Here is a 14,831-nt window from a genome sequence, read left to right on the forward strand (position 1 = left end):
AGGAGTATAACTTTAGCAAAGAAATTGGTACACCACGTTTAAAATAACTGGTCTTCTCTCCATAATCTTCATAAAGTTTGTCTGGATTTTGTCATTTAAAATGTTTCCCTCAATGATAAAGACTGTTGTGTTTTCTAATAGTCAAAGATACAGGCATTAGAAAGAAATCTTCAAATGATTAAAACACTTTATGACAACACATACCAAAATTCTTCTAAGTTGGCAACAACTTTAAAGTCAGAATTTAGGCTTACATTCATCCATCATAAAGCAACTATGCTTTAGTGGAAGTTTATTTTTAAAAAGCCAACTCCTCATAAATATGACCACAATATTTTACTCATAATGTCATAATATGATAAAACATTCCAGCATGTACAATATAATTATTTATTATGCATATTTAGTTTAAATTGCTCATTTGAAAACATCACCTATATGGTTTTGAAATGACCATTGCTTATTTGTTGTTTTTCTTATAATTGTTAAAGCAAACTCTCAAATTTTTAAATAACAAAAAACTATTGATTCATGAACCAGGCTTTGGCATTCAAGTTTCATTCTCAGTGCTAACATTTAACAATGTAAAAATTTAAAGGAAGTGTGTAAAGCGGTGAAGGCCGTTAATGCTGTCATCCATACTTAGGCTTGCAAAGTCATTTTTGTTGATCTTTTTAATTCTGTTAAAGCGGGAATAGAAATAAGCGGTGTTCTTTGGCAGCGGAGGAATAGCATCAAGTTCATGGTCATCACAGTACACGGTGGTACTTATACAAGTACACAAAAGACAGGTTGGAAAGTCTAAAAGATAAAGGAAAATAAAATTAAATGTAAGTACCAAATCAATTTCTAAGAAATAATGTGGAATGTTTGATACACAAGATTAGAGTCTCCCACTAACCAAGTAGATTTTATATTTTCTCGTAATGCTTTCTGTAAATAGAATATTCAAGTCAAGCATACCAATTAAAATTGTCTCAACAATTAGTATATTCAATGTAACATTTTAAAAATAATTTAAAATTAGTACTTTTCTATTAGAAATTCTATATTCAAAATTTAAACATTATTATTGTGCTTTTCATAAAGTTAAAATATCACATGTAATATTTTCATTAAGTCTTTGGTTTAATAATGAAACATTTCACTAAAACAACACTTGCTTCAAGAAAAATAAAAGATAATAATTATTAATATTCAGTTGCTCAATACATATTATTGAATCCTTTCTATGTAAATGGCACCATGGTAGCTGGTGAAACAGTGGTGAGCACAAAGAACACAGTTGTGTTTTATGATCTGCTTTGTGAAATGAATGTTAATCACACAAATGAAATTATGAATGTGATAAATGTCATGAAGTGTCATCTGAACATAACATAGGGGGATTTGACCTAGTCTGGAAGTCATGGAAGGCATCTCTGAAGTGAAAGCTGAGCTGAGATCAGCAGAAGAGGAATAATTGACTATGCAGGTAGGACAGGAATGGTATGCCAGGCAGAGGAAGCAGCATATGCCTTCACTTTGGAGGGACTGAAGGATAGTCCATATGGTTAAAACTCAGAGAGCATTGGAATGTATGGGACATAACATGCAGGGGCCTTGTAGGCTGTGCTACAGCTTTTATTCCTTCCCATAAGGATGGGCAGAGGTATCATACGATGCGGTTTGCATGGTAAGAGTTAAGTCTGCTGGAAGATGTAATGGAAGACTGAAGCAGGGCAACTGGAAAAAGTGGAAGTGAATCATAGTGTAGACAAAAGATGGTAACAATTAGAGGAGGCAATGGAACCAAAAATGTTTCTGAGGCTGGGTTTTATCTTGACATACTGATTTTTCTTTTCTGTCTTACACACACTCACACACACACACACACACACACACACACACACACCCCTACCTCTCCACCCCTTCTTCATTTTCTGTTTAGTGATCATGGAGAGGACAGTAAACTTCTAAAGGAGATGGAGAATTAATGATCAGAGGAAAGGAGGAGAATCAGGATAGGGCAATGTCATGGAGGCCATGTGGGGAGAGAGTTTTAAGGGAAAGGAAATAATCAACAACCTAAGCCTCCTGAGATGTCAGGTAAGTTAAGGACTGAAAAATGTTCTTGGATTAGTTATTGCAGTGGTTATCAGAGCATTTACAAGATTTGCAAAGTGAGGGAGCTGAAAGCCAGATTACAGTCCATTAAGGGAGAAGTTGGAAGTAAGGGAAAAGTTGCCACAAATGTTGAAAATGCTGAGAGGTTTGTGAAGAGCAAGGGATGAGACATAGTGATATCTATAATAAAATATGCTTGGGGTTTGTTTGATGAAGGGAGTGATTAACATGGAAGGAATTTGGAGAAAAAGATCCAGAGGAGGTGAATTTGAATATAAAAAGGATCATGAGAGGACAGTAGGAAATAGAACTCAAAGAACATGGAAAGATTTTCATCCCACTTGTGGAAGGACAGAGTGTCTTTGTTGTGCTAGAAGGAGAGGGAGATAGAAGAGCACATTGATATAGATGTAGGTAGATTATTTGTCTGGAAACAGGAAGACCAAGGAGCTGCTGACTGAGAAATTGCATTTTCTTTGTGAAGTAGGAAGTTAAGTTATCTGACAGCCTTGAGGGGTCTAGGGATGAGGTAAATAAGGATTGTAAGCTGTGGAATGAATGGAGAAAGTGAAATCTCTATGACATAAACTAGAAGAGAAAAGTGGTGGAAGAAATGTCCTGAAATTTCTCAGTGATCAATTTGTCTTAGTTTACCTGAGACTTTCATGTTTATAACATTGAAAGACACTTGTGTTGGGAACTCATCACACCCAGACAAACCAGGATATTTGATCAACCTAGTTGAAAGGTCTGTTTGTGGTTTGTAATCAAGAACTAATAATGTACCCATTAAGGTCTTATTACTATCATTAAATACAAAAGTCATTTCCATTTTAAGAATGGAAAGCCAGGAAAAAATGTTTAAGCAGGAGCTGTAAAATATTTAATACGTGCTAATTTCTCCAATCATTATAAATTAATATTTTCTACTCATAAAAATTTTAAGAGTTAAGGCATTTGATTCTTCTATATATTTATCACCTTGATAATTAAGCAATGATTGCTTAGGGTAATTTATATATATTCGCAGTAGTTATATTTTAATTCTAAGTTTTTCTACACCTAACTCAAGGCTATATTACACGGTTTTAGAATGTTATCTTTAGAAATTTGTTTTAGTAGTAAAAATATGGTATTTTTATTTTTAATATTCTAAATATTTCTAAACTAATTTTGATGAATGTGTGCCTCTTCTTTGGAAATTAAAAAGTGAGTTTGAGTTTTTAACTTTTTTATCCTCAGAGTACTTTAGAAACAAAAATTTTCTTTAAAAGTCTTAGTTTTTGTTATGTTTCTAAATTGACATTAGTGAAGCATTACTTGACTCAAGCTTTTGAAAGGATTGGGCATTCTGCTTTTCTGTTGTTTCTGGCTAAGCTGAGAGATCCAACATACAGGTACTGATACAAGATTGGTCAACTTTTGAAGGATCTGAAATCATTTAAATATAAGTAATGTTCTAGGGATATTTAATTTTCCTATTTTGGGTGCTTTATGCTGGATATTTACATTTTCTTCTCATTGTGTCTCTTCCTTTTTCTACTTGTAGAGTGTTCTGCTACACAGAAATTTAACTACACAGAAAGAATATAATATATTCATTAATGACACTGACAGGATTTATTGGTCTATGTTGCATTCCACATATCACCTCTGTGTTACTGGACACATTTTATAGTATGTCAGAGTTTTAGTTTTCTTATTTTTAAAAATGGGTAATCAGTGCCTAGTACATAGTGTTTTGACTCTTCAAAAAGTTAATGTAGATAAAACAATTCAAGTGTCTGGCATATAGAAGGCATGGGATGAAAGGGCAACTTTTCATATTACTTATTGAAGAACAGTTAAAAACTCAAAGAGGCAAAGAGTAAAATGGTGGTTATCAGAGCCTCAGGAAATGGGGAGTTGTTCAAGGGGTATAAAATTTCAGTTATACAGGATGAACAAGTTCTAGAGGTCTGCTATATCATACTATTCATAGTTAACAATACTGTATTGTACACTAAAAATTTTGAGAGAAAAAAATGCATGAACTCCTTTATCAATAGAATTTTCATAACTAACACTATGTTTACTATGGGCCAGTAACTACATGTATTCATTTAATCCTGACAACACCTCTATAAGGTAAGTTCTATTATTTATTATCCCATTTTTTTAGATGAGAAAACTAAGGCACAGTAATATTGAATGCCTTACTCAAGACTATAAAAACCCCACAAGTCACAGTGCTGGGATTTGAATACATATGTTTTGGTTCCTCTGTCTGTCCAAGAAACTCTCAGTTTTGATTCCTGTACTTTGCTCTTAGTCATGCCTTAGGTAATATTGCTCCTCCCTCTCTTTTTGTCTCCCAATGTGTTCTGGACAGACTTTTCTCATAAGACCTGTAATACAGTGATATTGTTTGGCTGTGTCCCCACTCAAATCTCATCTTGAATTGTAGCTCCCATAATTCCCACATGTTGTGGGAGAGACCTAGTGGGAGATAACTGAATCATGGGGGCGGCTTCCCTCATACTGTTCTCATGGTAGTGAATAAGTCTCATGAGATCTGATGGTTTTATAAGGCGTTTCCCCTTTCACTTGGCTCTCTTTCTCTCTTTCCTGCTGCCATGTAAGATACGCCTTTTGCCTTTCACCATGATTTTGAGGCCTCCTCAGCCATGTGGAACTGTGAATCCATTAAACCTCTTTTTTCTCTATAAATTACCCAATCTTGGGTATGTCTTTATCAGCAGTATGAAAATGGATTAATACATACAGTATTGCCTCTAAATTTGTTTCTATGTCTATCTTCCTGTGCTAGGCAGAAATATTCATGAGAACGGTAGTTATTTGAAACTAAGTTTTGTGTCTACAGAACTTGGAATACAGAGACACTCTACATTCACTCAACCTTTGCAGGGGGAACTCTCTATTTTTTTCTATACTCCCTAACTATGCCATTCTCTGTGTATATAAAAGTATTCCAGTGTGAGTCCTCTTGAGTACCCCCAAGGTTGACAGTGACACATTTGAACAAGAAATACGGACATATTATAGAATTACATGTAGCACTAAGAATTCCTTCTCATTAACTAAAAGGCTCTGGTTTCATCTGCAGGCCATGCAACATGGTGTCTGATGTTGTGCAATATTTTCCTCTCTCTGTTGCTTCTTAGGATTGAGTGAGAAGAAGCCTGTTTTTAAATAAATAAACAGCCAAGAATCTGAACAGGCTGGCTTCAAACCTGCTATGTAACAGCTTTGTGATGTCTGGCAAGTTACTATCCCCTTTGAATTATGGTTTTCTCCATGATAATGAGAAGAGTAATATTAACACTCTGACAGGGAGGTTTTAATAATCCAATGAGATAATGTGAAGTGCTGAGCATATAGGCCACAGATAGTATATGCTCAATTAGTGCAAAATATTATTACTATTACCATCATCTTCATCCTCATCATCTCTTATCCCCTTGAACTGCTGTGGCCTAATCTCAGAGGCAAAGATTTTATCCTGCTCATCAATTACTCTCTGTTCTACAAATACATTCCACCACCAGGTTTCGAGTAATGATACACAATATTTTCATCCCAAATCTTTGGTTATTTGATCATTTTTATGAGACCGAAGCTGAATTATTAAAACTGCTTTATATTTGAATATAAAATCTATGTATAAATATGCTTCAAACCTAGCCTATTCCAAAACTTTTTTCTTGGGTCATGTCATGTGGTTTCCCTGTAGAGTTGAAGCTGTGCAGTTTTGAGGATGACAAAGTGGACTCAATTGTAATTCTGCTTTGAGGTACCTGACCTTCATTTGTGTGTGGCCCCAGAACCCCTGTGAATTCAGGCTCCTGGGGAGAAGAGCCATCAATCAGCCTGGGAGTAGATTCCTCCTCCTCTTCCTCTTCCTGGGCCTTCTCAGGCTGTGGGGGTGGAGTGAGGAGCTCTCTGTTCCCTGAAGGCATCACTGTGGCTATTTCAATCTGAAAAAAAAAAAAAAAAGAGAATTTCTTCAGGCCAACTTCTCAGTCACTCTGTGTGGCAGTGACACAAATTTAAAATGTACCCATATTTGCCACAAGAGGACACTCATGTTCTAAAGTTCAATAGTTTGACCATCCTGCTTGCTTGGAGGAACACACATGGTTCTAGTAACTGTTGTTTTTAATTAGTTTTGTTTCTCAAATCTTAGAAGTTGTTTCCAATGCCTTTTTTTTTTTGGTCTTCTTGTTCTTTAATATCGTATATGTTTGTTCATTTCATAGGTTTAAAAAAAAGCTCATTTATTGTTTTCTAATAATAAGTAGCATTATAAGAATGCATCAATGTTGTGAAAGCTTCACATTAATTCAGAAGTGTACAGAGTAAATTCAAAACTCCCCTTTACCATCCAGCTCTCATTCTACTCCCCTTGAAGGTAATAACTGAGCAGAAATTGATACATATTATCTTGTCCTTTCAATCCTTGATTTCCTAGGTTCAAATATTCTGTTCCTTACCAATGACTTATACTGTCTCTAATGGCATTTTACTGAAAAGTATCCTTTATACTAAAATAAAATATATAGTGACATAAAAACTATGATTTGATTGTGATATGCCATTTCTCATGTGTTTTCAATATTATTAAAATAACAAATATTGTAATGATATCTAGGTATGTTAAAATGGACTTCTTTGAGAACGTTGACACTAGGAGGCAGTTATAAAATTACAAAATTATTCAAAGGTTTTTTTTTATATTATATTTTAGATTACAACTGCTTTGCTCTTATCTAACTTGTACATTTTAAGTAATAGAATCATTGCTTTTAAGAATACTGTTTGGATTTAGGAGAAATCTTCTCTTTCAGATTTCTTCCCTTGTCTGAATGTCTATTTCTTTGTGGTACTTAGTAAATGTCTACTTCTCTGACGGTCTCGTAAGCTTGGGCTGAAAATTTGCTCCAGGCAATTGGGATGGCGACATCCAGGACCCACTTTTTGTGGCCCAGTGTCCTTGTGGTATCCCCAGAAATCCCAGACTTTCCCTTAACCACACCAATATGGCCTTTTGCTTTTTTCCACCCTTCTTTATTTGCTTTCATTAAGAAAGTAAAGAAACACATAAATTATTTCTGGATTACTTAATACCAAGTGATCTGCAAACTATTCCTTTCATCTATAACACAGGTATATTTTCAGACCAGGTATTTTCTAGGTGTTTGAGTAACCAAAAAATTTTAGGAATACACTTATGATTTAATATCACTTATAATAGATTTAAAAGCATTGCAAATCACAAATGAAAATTATTCTTTTTAAGGAACACTAAACTTTCTTTTATCAGTTTATATTTCTGAATTGTGCATCCTTCTGTGCTTCCATAGAGTCTCTCTATTTCAGCCTTTTCTGTGCTGTATTACATTGGTTCCATTTGTTTTCTGCATTTCCAAGCCTGCTGGATGGTAAAGTATGTCATGTCTTTTATCTGTGTACCTCTAGGCTGTAAGCATAATAGGCAATCAGCAAGTACTTATTGAAGTATAATTTTTTCCAACTTTGCTTGTCCAAAATATATCTAAGTCACAGCTCTATGTTTAGAGATTTTCTGAGACAAATCAGTGAATGTGCTAATACTTACTTTAAATTATTTAAAGCATGAAATCAAAACAAAAACAGATTATACTGTCTTTGATACTTTAGGAGCAATACATGAAGATACAATAAAGCTTGACCAGAAAGCTCCAGCTGAGAAGTTTGGGCACATTTTCTTAAACAGAAAGACATACGGTTTCCATCTGTAGGTCAGAATGAGGCAGATTCAGAAGGAATGGATTTGTAGAGAGACCAAAGGAGGCTCCAGGAAGAGCGGAAATTGAGACAGATGTTTCATGGAATGGAGGCAGCCTAAAGGGAGAAACAAATTCCAGACACGTTGCCTTGAATCTTAGCTTTATAAGAAAAATGTTTGCACATACTTTTTACAGATAATTGTTTTTCCACTGATTTGATGTGAAGCTGTAAGATCTCACTTGTCATCCAATATAATGAGGCAAAACAGCTTTTTGTGTTTATCAAAAATTGTTTTGTTCATGCTTCCTTGCAAATAAAACATAAATGCAATACAACTTTGAAAACCAAGAAAAAGGAATGCCTTTTCACATCAGCAAAATTGAAGAACCTCAAAATACTATGCCTGGAGAGACTTTTGTTTTGTAGACACATTTATTTTCACCATTAAATAGAAGAGATTTAGGCATTTTTTCCCCTCTTCAACCATCTTCGTACTGTGATATGAAGTTATGAGGCAATGCACACATGCACAAAAAATAGTCCAGGGAAACAAGACCACCTGGCCTTCTGTGTGGCAGACTTGTATGCTTATGTTGCAGAAAACTAAATTTGAACGTAAACACAAATGACCAGAAAAAAATCCCTGTCTTTTTTCTCAAGCTACAATTGGTAATACTTGAATGTAAACATAATTGAGCCTCTTCTACAAATATTCATAAATTCTTTCAGCTTTATGCTCTATTCTTTTTTATTTGACTGCTTGTTTTACTCTGACTTGCTTCTTCCTGAATTAACTTTTAAATCTGTTCATTATATTTCCCTAAAGTTTAAAAATATAATACAAATGGTCATTACTACGTATGACTTTGATTTCAGTCAAAGTCACTGCACTTGTGTGTCTTCTTAACATCGTACCAGCAGAGTACATCTTTGAGTTGACTGGTTTGCAGTAAGTTATCTATTTTTATTCTCTTCTGTACCTGGTCTTAGAACTGTAGATAACTTATATCATGGTAGCCTTTGCTTAGGGAGTACATTCTGTGTCCATGAAACAGTATATCTATTCCAGAGATGACAAATGGATAGCTCACAGTGGCCTAGGCTGAGTGAGATATCAGCAGATGTCAGTATGAAGAGATAACTACCAAGAGAAGAAGTACTTAGGCCTGTGCCAGTCTCTGCACCCTGCACAGCCCTGACTCCATGTAAGCAACATATCACCTCAACCCAATCTCAGGGTAAAAGCGGTTGAAGTGACCCTGAAGTGTCTCAGACTAAGTTTCTGCTCCCTGGAGAAATAAAGACTCTCTGCAGAAAATCATCCAATTACATTTATTGTATCAGATTGAACTGGGACTTTTACTAGCAATATTTGTGTTATTATTAAAAATATGACAAAAGATTTAAAACTTTTATTTTCTGATAATCACCATTGTTGTCCACAGAAAATTATCTCTGTAAAAACACTCAGAACCATTTTAAGTGACAATAAGATTTGGTTTACAATAATTTTGATGAAATTCATTTGCCCCTTAGCAGAAAGTGCATTTAAATGATCTATATAATTATATTGCTGCCACTAAGCCTACTTTTTTGTCTTAATTTCAGGGTAAAAATATGAAAAACTGGTGTGTTCAGAAACAGCAATCACACATCTTCCTGATTGCTTCATTATCCACTGAGTCCTTTTAGTACATATTTCTTGTTGAACATGTTAATTATACCTGTTTATGAGGATCATAAACCATTTTCTGCCATTCAACATTGTGTTTGAATTAATAAAACTCTTTTTTTAATATTTTAATTTTAGTTAATCTACAGCTAAGTTTCTAATAAGGAAATCAATGATAATGTAATATATATGTTATGGAAAAAAATGCTGTTAAGAAATTCAAATAAACCAGATTCGATTCCTACCTTTATGAATGAATAAAAGGATCACCAGGTGAATGTGTGAATTTGTAAATGATGGAAGGTTTGCCAGTCTTTATAATTATCTAAAATGTCTATGTCAAACATTATGCTTAAGTTATGATCAAGTCTTCATTTTATTTGTCAATGTTGTTTTCTAAACATCTATCAATATCATTACTTTCGCTCCCTATCTGCCATCATCACCATTATCTAAATTACTATCCTCTCTTAGCTGGAATACAGCAATAGACTACTGATATAAAGTTAGGATGTCCTCTAGTGTAGATGTAGTAAGAATGGAATCTTTTAAAAACAGCTTTATGGAGATGTAATTCATATATTATACAGTTCATCTTTTAAAGTATACAGTCCAATGTTTTTTAGTATGTTGACAGTTACGCAACTATCACCCAATTTTATAGCATTTTCATCACCCAAGAAAAAAACTCTACAACCATTAACAGCCATTTCCAACTTCTCTCTTCTCATCCTCTCTCCTTCCCCTCTCCAACCTCCTGGCCCCAGGCAATCACTTACCAACTTTTTGTGGTTGTACTTTTGCCTAATATTTGTATTAGGCAAATAATTTCTGTATTTGCCTATTCTGGACTATTCTTTTCTCTCCTCTTTAACTGTAATTATGTATCTTTCAACCTACATTTCCCCATTTCCCTCTTCTGCCTAACTACCTAAGCCTCTGGTAACCATCATTCCACTCTGTCCTATGCAGTTAACTATTTTAGATTCCACATACACTGAGATCATATGGTATTTATCTTTCTATGCCTGGCTTATTTCACCTAACATAATACTCTCCAAGTTCATCCATGCTATCTCAAATGACAGGAGTTCATTCTTTTTTGTGTCTGAATAGTATTCCATTGTGTGTATATACCACATTGTATTTATCCATCCATCCATTGATGGACACCTAGGTTGATTCTTTGTCTTGGCCTTTGTGAATAGTGCTGCAATAAACATGAGAGTACAGATATATCTTTAACATACTGATACATTTCTTTTGAATATATACCCAGTAGTGGGCTTGCTGGATCTTATGGTAGTTCTATTTGTAATTTTTTAAGGAAACTTCACATTGTTTTTCATAGTGATTGTACTGATTTACATTCCCAACAAAGTATGCAAGGGTTCCCTTTTCTCCACAAACTCACCAACACTTACATTTTATCTTTTAGTAGCCATGTAGTCAATGTGAGGTATGCATTTGTCATCTCCAGAATAGAGATACTGTTTCATGGACACAAAATATACTCCCTAAGCAAAGGCTACCATGAGATAAGTTATCTACAGTTGTAACTACTAACAGTTCTAATATCACCAAGCGGTGAGTACCATTGGACCCCTTTAGCTTGCTATTCTGTCCTATTTTTCCTTAGAATTCAGAGGCTAAACACCGGGCACCTGTTGGCCAGTTAAAAGCAACTAGTGCGGCTGCCAGACTAAAGACATGGGTGTCAGGCTTTCTGGGAAAGGGCTCTTTAACAACCCTGACTCTTCGGAGTTGAGAGCGTTGGTTTGCTTGAAACCAGCTTCTGCTTTTCTTATACTTCCGGGCTGAGCTGAGGGTTGACAGAGAGGAAAGCCATTCAGCTCCGGGGTCCCAACAAAAAGTTGGTTGACCCTGCAGCCATGCGAGGAACTCTCAAAGTCACATCGCCCAAGTGAGACTCGCCCATCTATTCTATCTATCCTGACCCTTGACTCCTGGGTACTAATGCCTGTCAGACAAACTTCCTCCCACATCTCTTCTCTGAGGCTAGTCCTGCTTCTAAAAACCACTCCATCTCTGGTGCTTTTCTATTTTTTCCTATAAGAATGATTTCTAGCATAAATTTTGGGACTCTGTTCCTTTCTTTAGGCACCCAGGCTCACCAATCAGAAAAACATAATTTTTGCCCAAAGCCCCATTGGAGGGGGTTACTATCTGGAATTTTAGGATCCCTCCTCAGACAAGCAGGCCTAACAAAAGCTATTCCTAAAGCTAGGATATGGGGAGCCTCAGAAATGATATCCTTCCTATTCATATGATGAGAAGTGAGGACAAAAGGCATCACTCTTCCAACCCTGGAGATCCCATCCCTCCCTCAGGGTATGGCCCTCCACTTCATTTTTGGGGCATAACATCTTTATAGGACAGGGGTAAGGTCCCAATACTAACAGGAAAACGCTTAGGACTCTAACAGATTTTTGAGAATGCATTGGTAAGGACCACTAAATCTGACCTTCCTTGGTCCTCTTTGTGGTCTAAGAGGAAAACTGGTGTTTCTGCTGCTGCATTGGTGAGTGCAACTATTCCGATCAGCAGGGTCCAGGGACCATTGTGTGTTCTTGGGTTGGTGGTGGGGGGAACAAACAAACCAAAACCACAGGCGGTCTTTTCTTTCAAATGGGAAACATTCAGGCATCAACAGGCTCACCCTTAAAATGCATCCTAAGCCATTGAGACCAATTTGACCCACAAACTCTGAAAAAGATGTGGCTCATTTTTTTTCTGCACTATGGCCTGGCCCCAATATTCTCTCTGTGATGGGGAAAAATGGCCACCTGAGGGAAGTATAAATTATAATACTATCCTGCAGCTTGATCTTTTCTGTAAGAGGGAAGGCAAATGGAGTGAAATATCTTATGTTCAAGCTTTCTTTTCACTGAAGGAGAATCCACAACTATGCAAAGCTTGCAATTTACATCTCACAGGAGGACCTCTCAGCTTACCTCCGTATCCTAACCTTCCTACAGCTCCCCTTCATATTAATAAGCCTCCTCTAATCTCCTCCACCCAGAAGGAAACAAGCAAAGAAATCTCCAGGGGACCACAAAAACCCCCGGGCTATCGGTTATGTTCCCTTCAAGCTGTAGGGGGAGGGGAATTTGGCCCAACCCAGGTACATGTTCCCCTCTCCCTCTCTGATTTAAAGCAGATCAAAGTAGACCTAGGGAAGTGTTCAGATGATCCTGATAGGTATATAGATGTCCTACGGGGTCTAGGGCAAACCTTCAACCTCACTTGGAGAGAAGTCATGCTATTGTTAGATCAAACCCTGGCTTTTAATGAAAAGAATGTGGCTTTAGCTGCAGCCTGAGAGTTTGGAGATACCTGGAAAGGGACAAATTCCTTACTGGTCAGCAAGCTGTCCCCAGTATGGATCCCCACTGGGACCTCGACCCAGATCATGGGGACTGGAGTCATAAACATCTGCTGACCTGTGTTCTAAAAAGACTAAGGAGAATTAGGAAAAAGCACATGAATTATTCAATGATGTCCACCATAACTCAGGGAAAGGAAGAAAATCCTTCTGCCTTCCTCAAGTGACTATGGGAGGCCTTAAGAAAATATACTCCCCTGTCATCCAACTCCCTCAAAAGTCAACTGATCCTGAAAGATAAGTTTATTACCCAATCAGCCACAGATATGAGGAGAAAGCTCCAAAAGCGAGCCCTGGGCCCAGAACAAAATCTGGAGGCATTATTAAACCTGGCAACCTTGGTGTTCTATAATAGGGACCAAGAGGAACAGGCTGAAAAGGAAAAGCGATATCAGAGAAAAGCCACAGCCTTAGTCATGGCTCTCAGACAAACAAACCTTGGTGGTTCAGAGGACAGAAAATGGAGCAGGCCAATCACCCAGTAGGGCTTGTTATCTGTGTGATTTGCAAGGACACTTTACAAAAGATTGTCCAACGAGAAACAAGCTGCCCCCTTGCCCATGTCCATTATGCCAAGGCAATCACTGGAAGGTGCACTGCCCTAGAGGACAAAGGTTCTCTGGGCCAGAAGTCCCTAACTAGATGATCCAATGACAGGACTGAGGGTGTCTGGGGCAAGCACCAGCTCATGTCATCACCCTCACTGAGCCCTGGGTAAGTTTAACCATTGAAGGCCAGGAAATTAACTTCCTCCTGGACACTGGTGTGGCTTTCTCAGTGTTAATCTCCTGTCCCACACAGCTGTCCTCAATGTCCATTACCATCTGAGGAATCCTGGGACAGCCTGTAACCAGGTATTTCTCCCACCTCCTTATTTGTGATTGGCAGAATTTGCTCTTTTCACTTGCCTTTCTTGTTATGCCTGAAAGTCTCACACCCTTATTAGGGAGGGACATATTAGCCAAAGTTGGAGCTATTATCTATATGAATATGGGGAACAAGTTACCCATTTGTTGTCCCCTGCTTGAGGAAGGAATCAACCCTGAAGTCTGGGTATTGGAAGGACAATTCAGAGGGGCAAAAAATGCCTGCCCAGTCCAAATCAGGCTAAAAGACCCCACCACTCTTCTTATCAAAGGCAATATCCCTTAAGGCCTGAAGCTCACAAAGGATTACAGGATATTGTTAGACATTTAAAAGCTCAAGGCTTAGTAAGAAAATGCAGCAGTCCCTGCAACACCCCAATTCTAGGAGTACAAAAACCAAATGGTCAGTATAGACTAGTGCAAAATCTTAGACTCATCAATGAAACAGTAATTCCTCTATATCCAATTGTATCCAACCCCTATACTCTGCGCTCTCAAATACCAGAGGAAGCAGAATGGTAGGAAGCAGGATAGTTGTCCAGAAACATTGCAAACTTTCATTTGTCCTCTATGAACCCTATTTAATAACCATATAAACAAGCTGGGGCCAGCCTGTTGGAAGATGAGAGAGCACACGGTGGAGGGGAGGGGAAAGCCACTTCAGCTGAGGCCAAGCTAGTCCAGCCAGCACTGTACCAACCTAGCATATACCTGAGTCAACCCAGTGCAAACCAGCAGCACATCGGAACCCATATATCTGAACTACAGGACTATGAGCTGAATAAATGGTTATTTTAAGTAACCAAAATTTGGGATTGCTTGTTACACAGCAAAAGCTAACTGATACAGTTTTTTATATTGTATCTGTGAGTATTTGATTAATCTCTCCCCATGGGGATAAATACTACATATTTCTTTTTTTTCCCCATTATACTCCCAGCTGCTACTCCAGTATGCCTAGCAATTATTAGGCCTCCTGAAAAATACAGTTGAATCAGTATGGGTAAATCAT

At 37.1% G+C, this 14,831-nt stretch overlaps 1 protein-coding gene across 2 annotated transcripts in view, besides 1 other annotated feature; it reads right to left on the reverse strand.

The window, feature by feature from the left end:
* The window catches only part of EPYC (epiphycan), a 41,291-nt gene that overhangs the window by 8,498 nt on the left and 17,962 nt on the right, over nucleotides 1–14,831 (reverse strand). Inside the window, exons 1-3 of one of the 2 annotated variants that reach the window (XM_011538008.2) lie at nucleotides 7,724–7,827; nucleotides 5,909–6,083; nucleotides 643–801 (exon numbers count right to left, since the gene is read on the reverse strand). In XM_011538008.2, the coding sequence (XP_011536310.1) occupies nucleotides 643–801; nucleotides 5,909–6,065 (316 nt within the window). In that variant the 5' untranslated portion in view covers nucleotides 6,066–6,083; nucleotides 7,724–7,827. Of the gene's footprint in view, nucleotides 1–642; nucleotides 802–5,908; nucleotides 6,084–7,723; nucleotides 7,828–14,831 lie in introns of those variants that run through there. The other variant, NM_004950.5, reaches the window with a different exon arrangement.
* Nucleotides 11,928–12,462: an enhancer, noted in NCBI's record as "OCT4-NANOG hESC enhancer chr12:91377884-91378418 (GRCh37/hg19 assembly coordinates)". NCBI's record gives its function as "activates a minimal SCP1, AML or CMV promoter by ChIP-STARR-seq in naive H9 embryonic stem cells {active_cell/tissue: H9 hESC(naive)}" and the evidence as "EXISTENCE:reporter gene assay evidence [ECO:0000049][PMID:30033119]".

The sequence above is a fragment of the Homo sapiens genome, chromosome 12 (assembly GCF_000001405.40).
Source record: "Homo sapiens chromosome 12, GRCh38.p14 Primary Assembly".
NCBI classification, from domain to species: Eukaryota; Metazoa; Chordata; class Mammalia; order Primates; family Hominidae; genus Homo; species Homo sapiens.